The sequence below is a fragment of the Homo sapiens genome, chromosome 14 (genome assembly GCF_000001405.40).
Source record: "Homo sapiens chromosome 14, GRCh38.p14 Primary Assembly".
Lineage (NCBI taxonomy): Eukaryota > Metazoa > Chordata > Mammalia > Primates > Hominidae > Homo > Homo sapiens.
Window position 1 is genome coordinate 94798398 of NC_000014.9, and position 22313 is coordinate 94820710.

The 22313-nt window shown below is 45.5% G+C and overlaps 1 pseudogene; it reads right to left on the bottom strand.

Annotated features, from left to right (window-relative positions):
• RPL15P2 (ribosomal protein L15 pseudogene 2) lies at nt 985-3118 on the bottom strand (annotated as a pseudogene).

Genomic DNA, 22313 nt, shown 5'->3' on the forward strand with positions numbered 1-22313 from the left:
TGGTTTTGTATATAGTAAATATTGATTGACCAAAATAAGATGTCATAGAAACTACAATGATTTCAGAAACACTTGAGGGAATGGGATTTCCCTCAGTACATCAGCACCGATGGCCATTGAAAAATAGCCATACATGTACAGAGACACTCGTTACAGACGCACTGCATGGGACTCCTTGGTGCTCACATGGAGGTTCAAATGCTTGTCTAATATTTGTGGGCCCCGAAACCTCTACTTTAAGGAAGTAGAGCAATGACCACAAAGTGTGCCACTTTGGCTACATGGTACTGTAGATACTCTCAGGAGCTCTTATCACAACTAGGTCCTGGATAAATTAAAGAAAACATATATTTTAATGCGTTGATGGGCTTATTGGAAATAAGGAAAGTTTTGAGAGGTGTGATAAATAAATAAATGTATGCCAGAGGGCTGAAACCAAAGCAAGGAATGGTAATAAACAAGTAAATTGAATAATAACTATAAAATAGGATTGTCCTGAGTTTGAAGACCTATATCAGCACCACCAATAGAAAACTAACTTTTGGTCGGGTATGGTGGCTCACGCCTGTAATCCTCGCACTTTGCAAGGCCAAGGGGGGTGGATCACTTGAGGTCAGGAGATCAAGACCAGCCTGGGCAACATGGTGAAACTCCGTCTCTACTAAAAATACAAAACTTAGCCAGGCGTGGTGGCACATGCATGTAGTCCCAGCTGCTCAGGAGGCTGAGGCAAGAGAATTTCTTGAACCTGGGAGGCAGAGGGCAAGAGAATTTCTTGAACCTGGGAGGCAGAGGCTGCAGTGAGCTGAGATTGTGTCACTGCACTCCAGCCTGGGCGACAGAGCGAGACCCTGTCTCAAAAAAAAAAAAAACAAAAAACAAAAAACGAACTTTCAGGTTCTTATCAAATTAGAAGAGCTGAACCTGAGACATCCATATTGAGCTCTGGATTCTCTTAACAGGCAAGCAATGAAAAAAAAAAAAAGCATAGAAAAAGCACAAAATAAAATGATATAGACAAGTCCAATTTTTTTTTAGTTTAATAGACATTTATTCCTTTAGTTGAACAACCTCTACACAATCAAAATGTATGACTTAATATCTTTTCTTTTTTTGAGAAGAAATTTAGGTCTCTAGAACTTTTATGGACTTGCTATGAGTACTTCCCGGAAATCAATTAACTGATCCTTTTGAAACGCCTAGAGAAGATAGGAGAAAATTGGTTCAGAGAAATGAGCATTTAAATTAAGTCAGCACAGCCAGAATTTAGAATTGGGCAATTCCTTGTCTACATTTCCTTTACACTCAAATTCACCCTGGAAAACAGTAGCCTAGCCTCCTAGAAGACATGATGCGAACAGAAATGCAATGTGGTGGTATACTTACAGTGAAAGTGGGCGTAGAAATGATGGCCCAACTTTGTGAAATGGTAGGGATTTTTAGGGTACTTTGGCCAGGAATAAGAGAAACAATTACAGAAAACACATATGGTTGGAATCCATGCACTTGTATGACTTCTTCTGTAGCCTATGAGAGTTGACAGAGTGGGTAACCCAAGATGTTTTTAAGACTGCCTGGACTAAGAATGAGGTACTTATAGCCAACTACTTTCCCCACTAATGTGACTGAAAGGATTCATAATGATCACAAATTAGTGTTACGGTTAAGTATTTTAGGGTTGGCTTCTGAGCTCACACTTGAAAGGTATTTATCTAATGGCCACCGGCTCGCCAGCTTCCCACCCTAGCATTGATTGCTAGCTTACCAACCTTAAGGCTAATAATTTTATCTCACATTCAATTTCAAAACACACCAGTGTTAAAAGCACGACCACTAACCACTGAATGCCATGAAGCAATGGCACTGACCCAGGAGCTTTCACCTTTTATGTGAACTTAAAATGGTACCGTAAAGACAGGCAATTTTCTTCAGGCTAACCCAGATTTGTGCCCATAATTTTCTAAATATAATTGTGACATAGTTAAGATGTCCTCCTCCCACCCTACAATTTCTAAAGCAAAGCCCAATTAAAAAAAATCTGTACCTGCCAAACTAAAAAAACCCCCAGCCACTTGAAAGTAAGGCAGCAGAGCACTGCCATCACCCCATAAAGCTGCAGGTTTCATTACATGCACCAGGCAAATCTACAGGGCTAGCTTCAATACTCTTCTTTTAAAGGAATTATTTTAAACCTATTATACCACACAGCATGTTTTATACACTGACATATAACTCCCTAATAAGATAAAGCAAAGACAAAAAAGTTTGTCTTATTAGAAACAAGATACACCATCACTTATTGTCTTCAAACATTATTGCACTTTAATTTTCTTGACAAAGCATTCAGGGAACAATCTGCAGACTAGTTTTAACAGACAAATAACACCTGTAAGCAGACATGACTGTCGTAAATTGTTTATTAGACATGAATTTTACAAACTTTACTTATATTCGCAGTAACGGTGGAGCTGGAGAGTATTGTGCCTTCTCCAAGCTGCCCGGCAAGAACTACCAATAATGTGGTGGAACTTATGGCCCTTTCCAAGGCCACGGCTCTTTCGGCCTGCAGATGTCAGCCCACGCATCTCCCTGTGCTTGTGGACTGGTTTGGTGATCCACTGGGTGTCAGGATTTCTTCTGATAGCTTTATGGAATGGATTAATGAGGATAACCTCAAAAAATTTGTATGTGGAATCTTCACCAACCCAGTGAGAATTCCGGGCTCTTAAAGAGCCCCACAGTGGCGTCCAGCTTGCTCCTCTGCAACGGACCGAAGGCTTCGAGCAAACTTTAGCTGGTTAACACCATGATGGACAGACTTGCCGTCAGTTGTTCCTAAGGGAACTGGGTGTTTTCGGCCACCACGGCGAACACGAATCCTACATATAATGTAACCTTGTTTGGCCTTGTAGCCCAGTCGGTGTGCTTTATCAGGCCAGGTGGGGCAGGGAGCACTGTGAAGAGCAGAGAGCTGACACACTGCCAGCAGTGGACCCTCAGAAGAAAGCGCATGACGTCAGACTGCTTCTTTCTCCATAGCTCCTGGATGTACTTGTATGCACCCATCTTGGCTTACCTGATGGCTGCCTCCAGACGGAAAGGAAAGAGCTGTACTACCCCAAAGTCCAAATATTTTAATAATCACAATAAATGTAAGTGGACCAAACCTACCAGTCAAAAGACTAAAATTGCCATGTTAAATTTTTTTCTAAATTGAGCCATATATTAATTATAAGAGACGTAGATGAAACTAAGAAAATAGAAAGTTTATAAGTAAAAGTAGGATAAGAGATACATCAGAAAAATAATAATAAACATCAAACAAAATAGCTTTTAAGGAAAATGCATTATTAAAGGTAAAGAGGGTTAATATACAGTGATAAGAAGTTTAATTCACCAGTAAGATACAATAGTTATAAATTTGCATCCACTTTTATAAAATCTAAAAAATATAAAACAAAAATTGAAAATAACTACAAGAAGTAGTTCAATCTGCCACAACAGTAGGAGATTTTAGTGCACCTTAATTAATTATTGATAGATCAAAAAGACAAAATTTGTAAAGACATAGAAGATTTCAATTAAAACTGACAGGCATGACTTAATGAACATAATCCCCCAACACTTAGATTATACTCATTCTTCTCAAGCACGTGTGGAAATGTTAACCTGTGTTTTAAGATTTCTTACCATTTCAAAAAATTGACTTCTAACTTAGTTGCATTGTGGTTAGAAAATATGATTGAAAGGTATACACTTTATTAGGCTACAAAATGTGTCATTATATTTAAAACAATCAGTATCATACAGATATCTGTGGCCTCTGATCACAACAGAATTTAAAAAGTAGATATAGACAATACAAAGACACATTTTAGTAATTTTTTTTTTTGAGAGTCTTGCTCTGTCACCCAGGCTGGAGTGCAGTGGTATTATCTCGGCTTACTGCAGCCTCCTCCTCCCAGGTTCAAGCAATTCTCCTGCCTCAGCCTCCTGAGTAGCTGGGATTACAGGCGCTCACCACCATGGCTGGCTAATTTCTGTATTTTCAGTAGAGATGGGGTTTTGCCATGTTGGCCAGGCTAGTATCAAACTCCTGACCTCAAGTGATAAGCCCACCTCAGCCTCCCAAAGTGCTGGGATTACAGGCGATGGCCACCACACCCGGCCAAATTTTAGTAATTTTCTATGTCTGGAAATTTAAAAGCACACTTCAAAATAACATCGGAGTGAAATAAAAAATAGTAATGTAAATTGAAAAATAATTAGAATTGAATGCTACTGAAAATATTACATGTTAAAAATTCAGTTATGAAGCAAAAATAGTCCTTTGAAAGGGAATACATAGACTTAAGTATTGTTACAGAATAGAGAGGCTGGGTGTGGTGGCTCATACCTATAAAACCAACACTTTGGGAGGCCAAGGTGGGAGGGTCACCTGAGCCTGGGAGTTTCAGACCAGCCTCAGCAACATAACGAGATCCTGTCTCTATTTAAAAATAAAATAGGCTGGAAGCCATGGCTTATGTCTATAATCCTAGCACTTTGAGGGGCTGAGGCAGGCAGATCACTTGAGCTTAGGAGTTTGAAACCAGCCTGGGCGACATGGCAAAATCCCGTCTCTACATAAAACACAAAAATTAGCCAGCATGGTGGTGTGTGCCTGTAATCCCAGCTATTCAGGAGGCTGAGGCAGAAGGATTGCTTGAGCTCTGGAAGTGGAGGTTGCAGGGAGCTGAGATCACACCACTGCACCCCAGCCTGGGCAACACAGCAATATCTTGTCTCAAAAATACATAAATAAATAAAATAAATTTTTTTAATAAAAGGAAAATATACCCCCCAAAAACATAGAAGGAAAGAGACAATAAAGATAAGAACAGAAATGACTGACATAGGAGAAAAAGATCAATAAGGCTAAATCTTGGTTCTTTGAATAAAATAATAAAATAGTCAAGTTTCTGGTAAGACTGATTAAAAAAAGAAAGCTCACACACACAACAATGTTAGAAATGAAGATGAGTCAAAATTAGAGTGACAACAGAGATTTAAAATTGATGTAAATATTATGCAAATCTTTACATCAAAAATTCAAATTCTAAGATGAAATAGTGAAATTCTTAGAAAAAAATGTAACTCCAAAATTGATTTGAAAATAATTTAAAAGCTCGAATTTTTATTTAACCATATAAATATGAATAAGTGTCTGGGTGCAGTGGCACGCACCTGTTGTCCCAGCTACTTGGGAGACTGAGGGAGCATTGGCTGAGCCCAGGCGTTCAATGTTACAATGCTCTATGATTGCACTTGTGAATAGACTCTGTACTCCGGCCTGGGCAATATAGCAAGACCCTGTCTCAAAATTTAAAAAATGATTAAGAGGTTAACTATCTTTCTATTGAAAAAATAATTTCAGGTCATATATATATATGTATACATATATATACATATATATATATACCTATATATATACACACACATATATATATACACATATCCATCCCATGCACACACGCACATACATATATATATATATATATATATATATATATATATATATATATATACATGCACACACATGGGACCTGCAATTATATATATGTGTGTGTGTGTGTGTGTGTGTGTGTGTGTGTGTGTGTGTGTATGTATTATTTTAAACAGGGGAGTTCTACCAAACTTTCAAACTCATTCCAGTCTTACATAAAATCTTCTGCATATTAGTGAAAAACACCTAATTCATTTTATGGGGCTAAAAATGAGTTAGGTGTTGAGAATGAGAAAGGAATGAATATGAGAAAGGAATAGGACAAGTTAGTCTTATTCATGAATATGAATGCAAGAGTCCTACATAAAATATTAGCAAACAGAATCTGGTAATGAATAAAAATGATAATACGTGAGAAACAAGTTGGGTTTAATTCCAAAAATGCAAAGATGATTTAGTATCGAGAAAAAAATTTATAAATATTCACTACTTTAACAGATTGAATAAACAAACCATTTATTTTGACCTTATGTGTCAAAATAAAAATTTAGACCGAACACAGTGGCTCACGGCTGTAATCCCAGCAATTTGGGAGGCTGAGGTGGGCAGATCACTTAAGGTCAAGAGTTTGAGACCAGCCTGGCCAACATGGCAAAACCCTGTCTCTACTAAAAATACAAAATATTAGCTGAGCGTGGCAGTGCATGTCCGCAATCCCAGCTACTCAGGAAGCCAAGGCATGAGAATAGCTTGAGCCAGGGAGGCAGAGGTAGCAGTGAGCCAAGATCATGCCACTGCACTCCAGCATGAGGGACAGAGTGAGACTCTGTCTCAAAAAAAAAAAATTTTTTTTGAAAAATTTAATTCCCATTTATAATTAATCAATTAAATAAAAATTACCAAAATAGAAAATGGAAGGGAGCTTTTTTGACAAGGTGAAAATATCTACCAAAATCACCAATTTTAATGGTGATAAGTTAGAGCCTATTTCTAAGAAACTGGAGGTAAGACAAGAGTGTATTCTATCATTACTATTGCCCTAGAGGTCTTAGCCAGCGCAATAAGGCAGGAAAAAGAGGCAATGATTGGAAAAGAAGAAATACAACTATTATTCACAGATAATGTGATTGTTTACATAGGAAATCCAAAAGAATCTACAAATTATTGAGATTAATGAGAGTTCAGCAAAGTAGCTAGATATAAAGTCAATAACTTAAACATTGAATTTCTATGTAATACAATAAGCAATAAGCAGTTAGAAAATGTAATTTCAAAAATAATACCATTTATAACAGCAAAAAAAGATAAAAGGCACGTTGGGATAATTCCCTCCCCTCCCCTCCCCTCCGCTCCCTTCCCTTCCCTTTCTTTTTCTCTGTGGTTTTTTTTTTTTTTTTTTTTTTTTTTAGACAGGGTCTTGCTCTGTCACCCAGGCTAGAGTGCAATGGCACAGTCCTAGCTCACTACAGCCTGGGATCAAGGGATCCTCCCACCTCAGCCTTCTGAGTAGCTAGGACTGCAGGCATGCACCAGCACACCCAGCTAATTTTTTTTAAAATTATTTTTTGTAGAGATGGGGTCTTGCTACATTGCCCATATTGGTCCCAATCTCCTGAGCTCAAGTGATCCTCCCACCTCAGCCTCTGAAAGTGCTGGGATTATGAGCATGAACCACACTGTACCTGGCTGATAATGATTTCATAAACATGGAAGACCTTTGGGAGAAAATTGTACAATGTTAGAGAAAAAACATTAAAGTCATAAGTAGATGGAGAAACATTTTCAGTTCATGGCTGGGAAGACTTGATATGCTGAAGATCTCAAGTATACCCCAGTTGAGCCACAGACTTAATACAGTTTCGATCAAAATCCCAATTGGATTTTTTTCAAGGAACTGAACAAATTGATTCTCAAATTTATATGGAAGAACAAAGGCCCAAGAATAGCCAAGACATTCCTAAAGAAGCCTGAAGTAGGGCAGTTTGCCCGGACAACGCTGGAATTTATTGCAGAGCTATTTGGATTATGGCAGTATGCTGTTGGCACAGAGAAACTGACCAGGGAAGCAGAATGAAAACGCTCAGAAACAAACCCAAACACTTTTGGTAACCTGATCTGTGACTGCAGTGGCTTTGTAGGCCAGGGGAGAAAGGAGGGACTAATCTGTCAAGGATCCTAGAGGAAAGTGGTCCCTTATCTCCCATCACAGATAAAAACTAGATACAGATAAATTAAATACGTAAATGAGAAAGGCACAGCTTTCAAACTTTCAGAAGAAAGTATAGGGGGATATTCTTGTGACCTCCAAGTGAGGAAGTATTTTCTGCATAAAGACAATTGTAGAAGATAAGATTGGTAAATGTGACTACAGTAAACTGTTGTTCATTAAATTCACTCTCAACAAACAAACCACAAACGAAGAAGACAATAGCAGCACTGTAATGAAGGATTGTAATCCAGGATACATAAATAACTACTATAATCTAATTTGAAAAAAACAAGCAACCTTACAGAAACAATTTTGATATTAAAAAGGGATCTTCCTATCCCCCAAGACATAAGCAGAGCAATCCTTTTGTTTTTTGGTTGTCTCTGAGTTTGGTGCTAAGAGAAAGAGAAAATATATATTTTACCCGAGAGTCCTTTTACTTGAGAAATGGGTCACTGACTTCTTTGAGGAATGCTATGAAGGAGCGGGGCAGGGTTGTGCAGAGGTGGGGATGTGTAGCGACTCAAATGCAGGTAACCTGGTTCAAGAGGAGATGTGAGTCAAGTGAGATAGTCAAACTGTTTTGTAAATAGGCAAATAAAACTTCTAGTTTTCTAATTGCCTTCTAGAATACAGTAATCATTAAGTTTATGGGATTAACATATGTGCAAAGGATTTTACAAAGGGTGATTTTTATCAGCAGTAGGGTGGGGTCCCTTCCCAGCCAGAGTTATCCTGCTTCTATAACTTGGTTCCACTGTGCGCTAGAGTAGCCTCCAGGAGCAAAAGCAGGAAGGACTGAGAGTAAATGTGCCTGTGGCGGGAGTTTTACAGACTCCCAGCCATTTAGCTTGCAAGCTGAGACAGCAGCCAGGGAGCAAGCTGGGGACACTGGCTTCAGGCTCCTCTCCTATGGAAATGGGGTGACAACACCCACCCTCAGGATGTGATGAGATCACCTGTGTCACCTGGGTAGCGCACAGCCTGGCACATGGTATTAATAGTATCTCAGTCAAGTTCTGTCGCCTCCTTCTTTCTTGGGAGACATCTGCTGAGGTTTCAGTTCCTTCCTCCCTCTTAGCCTCCTTTGCTTGTCCCCTTTTTCCTACTCTTCTCCCTTCCACCTTCTACCTTCTGCAAACATTTAGCCAGCAGTTTCCAGGTACATGTTGATTTCCAAACCCTAAATGGGGATGCAAGTGAATGTATCACGGAGCACACAGCCGTGAGAGCTATTAGACCTGGGAGGGACCGCTATAGTCATGATGAAGATTAACATCAATAAAATAAACAATCACAGTAATGAAACTTGCCGCCATTTAACCATCACTTAATCTGTGCCAAGGCTTGCCTACTTTATCCCATTTAATCCCCATTCTTTCCCTAGGACCCTGGCAGCTTTGTTATGCCCAGTTTGTGTAACTTGCTGAGGTCTCAAGGCTCGTAGTAGCAGGAATGTGCATTTGCTGTAGATCTGTCAGTTACCGTGGCGCGGTGGTTGGGATCATGGTCCCTGGGCTGAGATTCCCAAGCCTATCACCTACCAGCTTTCAAACCACAGGCAAGTCCTCTGACTGCTGTGAGACTCATGTCTTCATATTAAAATGGCGCTTGGAAGGGCACAGTGGCTCACGCCTTTAATCCCAGCACTTTGGGAAGCCAAGGCGGGCGGACCACCTGAGGTCAGGAGTTGGAGACCAGCCTGGCCAACATGGTGAAACCCCATCTCTACTAAAAATACAAAAATGAGCCGGGAGGGGTGGTGAGCACCTGTAGTCCCAGCTACTTGGGAGGCCGAGGTAGGAGAATCGCTTGAACCCAGGAGGCAGAGGTTGCAGTGAGCAGAGGTTGCAGTGAGTGGAGGTTGCGCCACTGCACTCCAGCCTGGGTGACAGGGTAAGACTCTGTCTTAAAAAATAAAAAAATAAAAAATAATAATAATAAAATAAATAAATAAATAAATGGGGCTAACTTCAGCTTTAGAGCATTTTTGCAAGGGTTCTACTATCAGCTAGAAATACCTAAAGAACTTAAAACAGTGTCTGACACACAGTTTGTGAGGATTAAAAGCACCAATTCATGTAAAGCGCTTAGAGTTGGGCTTGGCACAGAATAACTGCTATCTAACTGCTTGTTATGATTATTGTTTTTGTTGATGGGGATGATCCTGGGACCACCCAGATTGCAGATAAGACTCTGCTTATCAATGTGAGGATGTCACCGTGGGCTTGGGGAGCCACAGAACCAGTTCAGTCATGATCTGAGTCCTGAGTCAGAGCTTCAGCAGCACACAATCTTCTTCCAGCCTGGATGTCTTTGGGGGAAAAATAGACTTTACACAAAAATCTGAATATCCAGTTTCTCTTGGAAAGCTAGATCTGGCAGCCCTGGGCCCACATCCTGTAGGGGACAATCAGTTTTCTCTTTAAGGCTAGCATGTGTGGGTCTTCCCTGCCAGCCTCAGTAGGGAGGCATCACTTACCTGGTCCCTGTGGGCAGTGCAGTTGGTGACCCATGTTGGAAGTCTCTCAGGAATGCAGAAGAGGGTGTGACTTCTTCGTTTTTTGTTTTTTGGGTGTTTTGTTTTGTTTTTTTTTAGACGGAGTTTCACTCTGCAGCCCACTCTGGAGTACAGTGGCGTGATCTTGGCTCACTGCAGCCTCCACCTCCTGGGTTCAAGCGATTTTCCTGCCTCAGCCTCCTGAGTAGCTGAGATTACAGACACCTGCCACCACGCCTGGCTAATTTTTTTGTGTGTATTTTTTTTTTAATAGAGATGGGGTTTCACCATGTTGACAGGCTAGTCTCTAACTCCTGACCTCAGGTGATCCGCCCACCTCGGCCTCCCAAAGTGCTGGGATTACAGGTGTGAGCCACTGAGCCCAGCCGAGGGTGTGACTTCTTGCATGATCCAACAAGGGTAAGAAGAACTTCTAAGATAAGGTAACATTTCAGCAGGTCTTTTCAAAAAATTATGAGGCATAGCATACGTAGTGAAGAACATAAAATATATACACATAGTTGAAAGAACAAGAAGACCTGGGTGCACTGGCACGTGCCTATAGTCCCAGCTACTCAGGAGAGAGGATCACTTGAGGCCAGGAGTTTGAAGCTGTAGTGTGCTATGATCACATCTGTGAATAGCCACTGCACTTCAGCTTGGGCAACATAGTGAGACCCCCAAAACATAATTTAAAAAAAATAAGAAAATGTATACTCATTTACCTACTACCCAGGTTGAGAAATTGAACATCACCTGGATCTCAGAACCTTGGTACCTTTTTGGCCCCTGGACCGGCAGCACCAGCCTCCTGTTGGGGCTCGCTGAAAATGCAGCATCTCCAGCTCCTCCCCAGCCCTAGGGAACCAGGTGATGTGTGTGCATGTTAGAGCTGAAAGGCTACTTCTGCAGCTCTGTGTACAATTCTCAGTTGTGCCCCTCTGTTTCCTGACACCAGAAGAGTCTCTGTCCAACTTGTAGCAGCTTTTCCTCTCTTGTGTAGGTATTTCCCCAGAATCCTGTTTCATTTTGAACAGCAGCATGAACCTGGCTGTCTCTAGGGCAAGTCCCTTTCAGCTTCCCATTGAGCTCTGTGGAAAGGATGTCACGGGGAGGGCAGATGTGGCCCCCCCTTCGACCCCATGGGGCATCTGGAGGGCCTGCCACATGAGCAGGGACAGAGATCAGCAAGTGGCTGCTCTGTAGTTTCTGCTTGCAAGCTCAAGAGCAGGTCAAAGCAGAAGACTTCTTGGGGCTGGCATGAGTGTCTCCACTGGACCCGGACCCTGCTGGAGACAGCAGAAACTTCATCAGCTCACAGTCAAGAGCAAGATTGGGCCAGGCCAGGCTTGCCACAGCAGTGCTTTGACAGTGGGGATATTAGTGATGGCACCATGGACAATCTGCTTGGGAGACCTCAGGACAGGGGAGTTGGTGGGGAGTTGCACTGAGCCAAGGGGCGCAGCCAGTCCAGATTGGCCCCTTGGTTGAAACAAACTCCATGTTGTTTCTGCCTTTCCTGCTCTTGCCATTGTGTGTGGAATGGTCTTCTTTAAAAATCCCTTTACTGGCCAAGTGCAGTGGCTCAGGCCTGTAATCCCAGCCCTTTGGGAGCCTGATGTGGGAGGGTTGCTTGAGGCCAGGAGTTTGAGACCAGCCTGTTCAACATAGTGAAACTCTATCTCTACAAAAAAGAAAAAGCCAGGTGTGGTAGCGCACACCTATATTCCCAGCTACTTAGGAGGCAGAGATGGGAGGATTGCTTGAGCTCAGGAGTTTGAGGTTGCAGTGAGCTATAATCATACCACTGCACTCCAGCCTGAGCAACAGAATAAGATCTTGTCTTAAAAAAAAATCCCTTTAATGTAACTTAATGGGATTCTTTAAGGGAGTAGAATTTAAAATGTGTCTTCAGGTTGGTGGTTCACGCCTGTAATCCCAACACTTTGGGGCGAGGTGAAAGCATTGCTGAGGCCCGGAGTTCAAGACCAGCCTAGGCAACAAAGTAAGACCCCATCTCTACAAAAAATTAACAAAACTTAAAAAAAGAAAAAACAATAGAATGTGTTCAGTCTGCCCTCTTGAGCCCAGAAAGTCTTGGCCAGGTCTCTGGATGACAAGGAAGGTTCGGGAAGGCATTCAGGAAATGTGTTCCTGAAGGGCTGGGGATATGTGAGGGGTGACTGATAGTGTGTTCCTTTCATAGGACTGCTATAAAGTGCCACAAATAACACAGATTTATTCTCTCATATATCTAGAGGCTGGAAATCCAAAATCAAGTTGTTAACAGGGCTATACTTGCCCTGAGATGCTGGGTAGAATCATTCTGTCTGTCCTCTTCTTTTTTTCTTTTTCTTTTTTTTTTTTTTTTTTTTGAGATCGAGTCTCACTCCCTCACCTAGGCTGGATTGCAGTGGTGCAATCTGAGCTCACTGCAACCTCCGCTTTTTGGGCTCAAGCAATTCTCATGCCTCAGCCTCCTGAGCAGCTGGGACTATAGGCACGCACCACCATGCCTGGCTATTTTTTGTTTGCTTGTTTGTTTTGTTATTTTTAGTAGAGTTTCACCATGTTGGCCAGGCTGGTCTCAAACTCCTGGACTCAAGTTATCCGCCCGCCTCAGCCTCCCAAAGTGCAGGGATTACAGGTGTAAGCCACTGTGCCTGGCGGCTGTCCTCTTCTTAGCTTCTGGTGGCGGCTGGCCATCCTTGGTGCTCCTTGATTTGCAGCTGCATCACTCCAATCTCTGCCTCCATGATCATACGGTCCTCTCCCTGTGTGTCCTTCTGTCTCCTCTCTTTTTTTTTTTAATTTTTAAATTTAGAGATGGGGTCTTGCCATGTTGCCCAGGCTAGCCTCAAACTCCTGGCCTCAAGCCATCCTCCTGCCTTGGCTTCGCAACATGCTGGTATTACAGGTGTGAGCCACTGCACCTGACCCTCTCCTCTTCTCCTAAGGACATCAGTCATTGGATTTAGGACCCACCTAATCCAGTATGACCTCATCTTGACGAATAACATCTGCAAAGCTCTATTTTCAAATAAGCTCACATTTTGAGATCCCAACTGGATGTGAATTTTGGGGGGACATTGGTCACCCAAATGCAGATGTGTGGCTGGATCTCAGGGGGAGGTGACAAGGTGAGATGGCAGGAGACAGCCAGAAAGCAGATGAAGGGCTGAGTTCCCAGACTTCCCTCACTATTTGGCCTTTATTCTTGGCCCATGGAGGGTTTTAAGGTTGACAGTGATGGCGCAGGTTTGTTTTGGAGCAGGCAACATCCTGCCCCACCCCCGTGCCCTTTTATATCTCCACATTTCTCTTTGCCTGTGATGAATGGTTCCATTCTCCCAGGCTCATGCCAGCGCCTCTGTGGACAGTCTCTGGCCAGCCCTGGTGAGTCCACCTCCCAACCCCTGCTCTGGCCTCCCTGGCGCTGGGCTCACGAAGCTTGGCTGGCTTGGGCTCTGCAGCGTAGCCTCTCTCTCCACGTTGTGCTGGGTCACCTTGGGGGCTAGGACTAGCTCTCATTCATTTCTGTATCCCCTGTACCCAGCAAGGGTAGGGCACAGTGGATGGGACATAGAATGGGAAGCCTGAGAAGAAGAGACTCAGAGCCAATGCATCAACTTGTCATGGTCATTTTCCAAGGGGTACTTTCTGCATTGCTGTGAGTGTTTTTTTTTTTTCCAGATGACAGATTCTTTACAGTCCCTCTCTGAAGTTATGAAATTAAATGTCCTTCTAAACATGCGCCTGTCCTGCAGCAGCCAGAAGAAGGGGCGTCCACCTTTGGAGGCTGCACATCCCTGTTCCCCAGGCTCTGAAATCCCCACCTGCCTGGCCTTCCGGCCAGTAGCCCCAACGTTCCAGGCTGCCTGCTGCTGAGACCCCTCTGTTTGCAGCCGTCCTCTTTGATGACAGGCCCCCACGTTTCCAAGACAAGGCATGGTCATAAAATCAACTGTCCGCAGCCATTTAGTCTAGGCATGGTTAATGCCAAAACTGGCTTCCAAATTGACAGTTAATGAGGGAAAATGACGAGGGGGCGTGTTAACAGACGCAGGCTCAAGGTAATAAACAGGCCGTTAAAGTCAGGTAGTAAACAGCTTGCCAAGGACCATCTATGAATTTATTTTTTTGAAGGAGAAAAAAATTAACCAACAAGGTTTGTCCCCTTTGGTGACTGGGTCTGACTGGCAGCAGGAAGAAATGAGAGATTCCTGGGAGACCTCAAATATCTCAGGAGGCCCCTCAGGCTGGGATGTGCAGATGTGCAGGTGGAGCCAGGGACATGGGCTCACAGTGGGCTCGCTGTGGGTTCCCATGGACACGCTTTGGTCCTATCTGTTCCTCATGCCCTTGGATGCTGGATGGGGTGTCAGGAATCCCAGCAGTGGTCCTGGTTCTGTCTATGGTTGATGCTGGGACCTGGAAGAAGTTACCTGATTTTCCAGGCTAGCCGCAAAGACCAGGATGGACTCGATGATCTCTGTAGAGGCTTGCGCTGAGTTACATAGTGTCCCCAACCCCCTAAAATTCATGTCCTTCCTAGAACTTCAGAATTCCATTGGCCGGGCGTGGTGGCTCACGCCTGTAATCCCAGCACTTTGGGAGGAGGAGGCGGGCAGATCACCCCGAGGTCAGGAGTTCAAGACCAGCCTGGCCAACATGGTGAAACCCCGTCTCTACTAAACATGCAAAAATTAGCTGGGCGTGGTGGCGGGTGCTTGTAATCCCCGCTACTCGGGAGGCTGAGGCAGAAGAATCGCTTGAACCTGGGAGGTGGAGGTTGGAGTGAGCCGAGATTGCGCCGTTGCACTCCAGCTGGGTGACAAGAGCAAAACTCCACCTCAAAAACAAAAACAAAAAACAAATCTGTGGCTCTAAAACCTCTGCGAGGGGTGCAGATGAAAGTGGATTTCTGGGGGGCGGGCATAGAGCATTCCCATAAGCCAGCGGTTCCTCAACAGGGGAGATTTTGCCCTCAGGGGACATCTGCTACATCTGGGGACATTTTTGGTTGTCACAACCAGAGAGGGGGACAGGGGATGGTGTGCTCCTGGCACCTTGTGGGTAGAGGCCAGGGGGACTGCTAAACCTCCTACAGTGCGCAGGACAGCCCCCCCACAAATTATGACTCAGGCCAAAATACCAACTGTGCAGAGCTTGAGAGCCCTGGCGTACATGAATGTTGACTCGGAGGCCCACTCTCTGCTGTATCAGAACCAACCCAGGATTGCCTGTGTCCGGTGTAGGCCACCACAGGTACGAGAGCTACAGAATGATCCAACTCAACAGGAAAAAATGATCTTATCTCTACAAAGTAAACCTCCCAGTTAATATAATCCCCTACCCTCCTTCCCACACACACATGCACATATTATCAGAATCAACATATCAGGGTTTGCCAAATTTGTATAGATGGCCACTGCTGGGCTGACAGGTGCAGGTAATAGGGTTAGTGTGGACCTGAGGTCAACACATTGGGGTCACTTAGTGTAAAGACCCCAAGAGTTAATAGCTGGAAGACACTTGGAGGGGTGCGTGCCTCCTTTGTTCTCTTGATGCTGGGTGGTGTCTCTGGCCAGGGCTCTGGTCCCTTCACCAGCTTCCAACCCACAGGGATGTAGCCATGCCCACAGGCAACTGATGGACCATTGTTGAGACCACTACAGGGGCTCTGAAGGCACCCCAAAATAATATGTGGGTGGGAGGACAGGATAGATATTGAAAGGATTAGTTTAGATATATTAGATAATTTTATATTATTGCGTTGAGTAACTCCGTAATAAATATAGGTAAATTGAAAAGGTCACCACTGGTTGGTTCCATGGTATTACATCAAAGCCAGTAACATCTTCCTACTCCTTCCACTTCCTTTTTTTTTAACCCCTTGCACCCTCATATTTCACTCGGTGGCAGACAGTTAAACTCTGGGATCTGGCTTCAGAGTGCTCCTTGGTTGCATAGCTGGCCCTGTGGCCTTCTATAAGTGACAGAAGCTGCCAAGCTGTAAGATGAGAGTCAGCCATCACAACAGCATAGACGTCCCAGCAGCATGAGGATGGAGGAGACCACCCAGCTATCTAAAGCACTTGGCTCAGCACCTGGCTTGGAGGACATGCACCAGAAGCCCCCGAAATGCCTGCCTTATACCAGCATCCCTGAGGCAGAAGCAAGATCCACCCGCCCCCAAAGCACAGGCTATGGGAGGCAGACAAACACACAGGCAAACACCAGAAGGGTGGCTTCCGGTTAGTGACTGGATCTATCTGATCCTCAGTTTGGGCAGCTGTAAAATGGGAATAGTGCTTGTCTTTGCAAATGTTGCTGGGAAAATTAAATCAGATGAAACTCTGAGCAAGGTATCTGGGGCTTTACACTTACTCCTGTCTCTCTCTCCAGGTTCTGGTCAGGGGCTGCTTTTCCTGCCACTGAGGCATTCCAGGGCCTGGCCAGGAGGAGAGCTGGGCTCTCTGGTACCTGGTTATCGACACCTGAAGACCGCCAGGCCTATCTATGGATACACATGGAGGCCTGCATTTTAGAATAGGCAATGGCGCCCAGCATTCTGATCTTATAACAGGAAGCCTGAGACCTGGATAGGAAAGTGACTTCCCACCCCCAAAGTCAGCCAACAGGTCAAGGAGGTCAAGGCAGAGGCCCCACTTGCTCCTTTTCTTTTTTTTGAGACGGAGTTTCACTCTTATTGCCCAGGCTGGAGTGCAGTGGCACAATCTGTGCTCACTGTAATTTCCACCTCCCAGGTTCAAGTGATTCTCCTGCCTCAGCCTCCGGAGTAGCTGCGATTACAGGCGTGCACCACCATGCCTGGCTAATTTTTATATTTTTAGTAGAGACGGGGTTTCTCCGTGTTGGCCAGGTTGGTCTTAAACTCCCGACCTCAAGCCATCCACCCACCTTGGCCTCCCAAAGTGCTAGGACTGCAGGTGTTAGCCGCCGCACCCGGCCTCGCTCCTTTTCCTTATGCTTTGCTGACAGCTTCATTTAGTAAGTGCTTGTGATCTCTAAGGTGTCAGACTTTGTGCGAGGGGCCTATATGGAGGGAAATCCCGTGTCTGCCCTCCCCACCTGTAGTGGGTTGAATCATGGACCCCCAAAGAGATACAGCCAAGCCCTTTGGGTTTATCTTTGGTATAAAAAGGTTCTTTGTAGATGTAATCAAGAATCTATTTTTTTTTTTTTTTTTGAGATGGAGTCTTCCTCTGTTGCCCAGGCTGGAGTGCAGTGGCACGATCTCGGCTCACTGCAACCTCCGCCTCCTGGGTTCAAGTGATTCTTCCACCTTAGCCTCCTGAGTAGCTGGGATTACAGGCGCCTGCCCTCAAGCCCGGCTAATTTTTTGTATTTTCAGTAGAGACGGGGTTTCACCATGTTGGCCAGGCTGGTCTCGAACTCCTGACTTCGTAATCCGCCCGCCTCAGCCTCCCAAAGTGCTGGGATTACAGACGTGAGCCACTGTGCCTGGCTTGAAGTAATCAAGAATCTTGAGATGGGATTGTCGTGGATTATCCAGATGGGGCCTAAATCGAATGATCAAGTAACCTTTTAAGAGACAAAAGTGGAGGAGAGAGAAGAGAGGGCCATGGGAAGAGAGAGGTGAGGATCAGAGGGATGCAGCTACAAAGAATGCCTGGAACCACCAGAAGCTGGAGGAAGCCAGGAAGGATTCTCCCCTAGAGCCTCCAGAGGGAGCCTGGCCCTGACAACACCCTCGTTTAGGATTTCTGGCCTCCAGAGCTGTGAGAATAAATTGTTGCTTTAAGCCATCCAGCCTGTAGTAATTTATTATGGCAGCTCTAGTAAACTACTACCCCGCCCAGAGCCAATTAAGAAAGATACATGTCACCAGCAACCATCGCCACCACCATTAGAAAATATTAAAAACGAATAGAGCACCGAGTCCCCTCTAACTCTTTCAACTCACTTAATCCTCTAAACACAGCTGAAGCAGGTACAATATTATCCTATTTTATAGGTAAGAAAACGGAAACTCAAAGAGTCCAGGAAGTCAGAAAATTAAACGAACTTCAATTTGTGCCTGACCTCAGTTTGCTCTTGATTTCAGTGCTGGACTGTCCAACACCAGGGGCCAGTCAGCAGCTTCTCTTAGGTCCTTTCAACAAGCCAACTTTTTATAGAGACCTTGTCCAGGCCAGTGGCTTTAGGGAAACTAAGTCAGCCAAGAAATAATAATAATACCAACAACAGCAAAGACATTTACTGAGCATCTACTATGTGCCAGGCACTGAACAAAGTATATCCACGAATTGCCTCATTTTCTCCTCCTAACAGCTCTACAAAATAACAACTATTATTATTATCCTATTTCACAGATGGGAAAACTGAGGCTTCCAATACAGGCCTGTCTGGCCACAGTTCATGTTCTCAAGTGACCAACCTCACTGCTGCTGCCTCTAAGAGAGGCACGGGACATTGGCTGGAGCATTGGCACATGGCTTGAGTATCATGCTCTTCTTATGTCTTTCATTAAAGCTCTTAGAACATCATGAGGTGAGGCCGGGCATGGTGGCTCATGCCTGTAATCTCAGCACTTTGGGAGGCCAAGGCAGGTAGATCGCTTGAGACCAGGAGTTCGAGACCAGCCTGGCCAACATGGAGAAACTCCATCTCTACTAAAAATACAAAAATTACCCAGATGTGGTGGTGCGCACCTGTAGTCTCAGCTACTTGGGAAGCTGAGGCAGGAGAATTGCTTGAACCCAAGAGGCAGAGGTTGCAGTGAGCTGAGATTGCAACACTGCACTCCAGCCTGGATGACAGAGCGAGACCCTGTCTCAGAAAAAAAGAAAAAATGAAAACAAAAAAGAAACAAACAAAAAAAACAACAAAAAAAATTGTGAGATGTTCACTTGTTTATTTGTTTGTTTTTCACTTGTTCATTTTCCTATGCTGGAATGGAACCTCACAAAGGGCAGGGAGCAGGCCTGTCTCCGTCTGTATTATGAGTCCAGTGCTTGGTACTGAGAAGGAGTTCAGCAACATTGGAGGACTAGTCAAGTACCTGTCTCCCCAACTGGACTCTGAACCCTTTGGGGCACCAGCATCTAGCATAGCTCGAGACTGAGAGCCTGCATAGCAAATGACCTCAAAGAAGCCATAAACATAAATATGGAGGAGACAGAAACCCAAGGGAGAATTCCTCCCAATCACAAATACCCCCATTTCTAGGCCTGATAGATGTAAGTGAAAATGGTATTTAATTAGCTAAAACCAAAGCTGTCATCACCTAATCCAGGAGTCTGATAATAAATTTTCAATGCTTTCCACTTATACTCTGAAGCGATGGTGCAGCTGCCCTGGCAGATGGAGGCAGTTGGAGACATCCACAGGCATCTGTCTGTCCAGGGAGCAGCTGTGGACTTGGTGATTCCATTGGGGAAGTCTACTGCCATGGAGAACACTCAGGTGCTGAGGAAGTCTTCATTTCCAGTAAGGCAGACGCCCCCGTTTGTCACTGTAGCCTAAAGAATGGTCATCATTAGGCTGGGCGTGGTGACTCACGCCTGTAATCCCAGCACTTTGGGAGGTTGAGGCGGGTGGATCACGAGGTCAAGAGATCGAGACCATCCTGGCCAACATGGTGAAACACCGTCTCTACTAAAAATACAAAAATTAGCTGGGTGTGGTGGCACGCGCCTGTAGTCCCAGCTACTTGGGAGGCTGAGGCAGGAGAATCTCTCGAACCAAGGAGGCAGAGGTTGCAGTGAGCCCAGATCATGCTACTGCACTCCAGCCTGGTGACAGAGCGAGATTCCATCTCCAAAAAAAATAAATAAATAACTGGTCATCCTTGTTCTCTTAGGTCCAGCACTTAGCAGTTTGCAGAACACATTCACAAGTCTTTCCTATGACTGCAGGGATGGGGACAGATTGGACTGTGGCCTCAGTGTCATGGTTGAGGGAACTGAGGCCCAGAGGGCAGCCTAGTCATTAGCTGTGTCTCCTGCCTTCTCACAAAGTGGTCACCAGTGTCATTTCCCACCTCCAGGTATTACAGGATCTGTGGCGTGTCGATTTTTCTGGCCAGAAACCTCTGTGGCCATGGTGTCTTTGCCTGAGTTTTTGTCCTGCGTCCAGGAAGAATGAGGTACACAGACAAGTGAAGGGTGAAGAAGAAAAGAGTTTTATTTAGTGTTAGAACAGCTCAGAGGAGTGGGTAGCTCCTCTCTGTAGACAGGTGGTCCCGCCAAGTGTTCAACTCTCAGCAGAGAGGACGCCCTGGAGAGGGTGGCTCTTCTCTGCAGGCAAGTCATTTGGACGTCTCTGCAGGTCTCTGAAGCTCTCAACAGAGAGGGTAGCTCCTCTGCCAGCAGGTTGTCTCTGCAGCTGTCAGTTCTCTGCAGCTGGTCATCCCATCATCTCCAGCTATCACCAGAGAGGGTGCTCCTCTCATCCAGCTATTGTCCCATACAATTGTCTCTCTGCCCTCTTCATCCTCTGGCCATCCTCTCACCTGCTGTGGCTGAGCCCAGGGCTTTTATGGACTTCAGAGGGGAGGAAGTACATGCCGATTGGTCCATGGGTGGCCATGGGGGTACCTAGAAGAGGCATTACAGTCCCCACTCCAGTCCATGGGACTGGCTGCCTGGCCCCCAGCCTTCAGGCCCTCCCTGGCCTCAAGGTGGGGCCTTACTGGGGACCCATCCCCTTCCACCAAGGAATTAATCTGCCTGCTCCTGCCATTCATGGCCCTGGGGCTCAGCCCCAACCCCCACTCTGAGATTGGAGCAGGTGCCAGGAGTGAAGAGAGGCCAGGCAGTGGGAGAAGACACCCCTGAGCCTGCAGGGATGGGTGGGTGGGGTCCTTCCTGGGTCCCTGAAAGGGTGCAGGCTGTAGAGACACCCAGCTCCTGCACCTGGGAAGGTGGCCCCAGCGGCACCTGGGAGGGCCAATCCTGCCTGCTCCTGGTCCTCCCCCAAAAGCACAGAGAGGCTCAGATCCACAGCTGCAGTTTGGGCGGCTATAGCCCCACCCAAGAGGGTGAGGCTCCTGTCTGCTCTGTAGACCAGGAGGCCTGGGTCTGCAGCTGCAGTTTGAGCGGCTACAGCAGCACCCAGGGACCTCCTGCACTAAGCTAGCCACTGCTCTGGCTGAGCCCAGGGCTTTTATGGACCTCAGAGGGGAGGAAGTACATGCTGATTGGTCCATGGTGGCCATGGGGTAGCCTGGAAGAGGCACCATGTGTCCGCACTCCAGTCCATGGGACTGGCTGCCTGGCCCTCAGCCAGCAGCCTGGCCTCCTGCAGTGGCTTTGGCCCCTTTCCTGCCTCAGATAATCTAATTTAGTAGGTCTGTGAGTTGTCTCCAGGACCTGCCTTTTATTTTATTTTTAATTTTCTTTTTTAAATTATTTTCTTCTTTTGAAATTTCAAATTTTATTTATTTTTTGATACAGATTTGGCTTTGTTGTTCAGGCCAGAGTGCAGTGGCACAAACATGGCTCACTGCAGCAGCCTCTGCCATCACAGGCACACCCCTCCTGCTAGTGGGGCTTTCAGAACTTGCTCTCCTCTGAAGTCTAATGAAGCCATCTTTGGGACCCCCGTCACAGTATTCCTCACCCTCCCTGGCCACCCCTTTCCTTTCCTCCTCCTGCTGGGCCCTCATGGGCTCCTGGGGGTCTGTGTTGCTTGCAGGGTCCTCTGCCTGGTGTAAACCCAGCCCCTCCTCACTCTCCACCCCCAGCAATCTTCCCTCTCTGCCCCAGTGCAGAAATCAGGACAGGGTTGTCCAGGAAGCTGTCCCCAACCCCCAGGCTGGTGGACTAACCTTTCTCTATACTCCTATGGCAACCAGATTCCAGAACCTTCTCTCCAAGGCTGGAGGTGGAGGCAGACTCCATGTTGACACCAATTGAGGGCTGTGTGGTTGGGGTCCCAGCAGGAAGTGGTTGCATCCACAGGGGGTGTCACTGAAGAGAGAAGAATGAAGGGACTGAGGCTGGGCAAGGTCGAGGGGTTCTCCAGGGGCTCTGAGGTGCCCCAGGGCAAGCCACAGGGTGGGGAAGTAGCTGGCACTGTTGCTAAGTCTAAGTGGACAAGAGGAGGGAGTAGCTCTAAGAGGGCTCCCT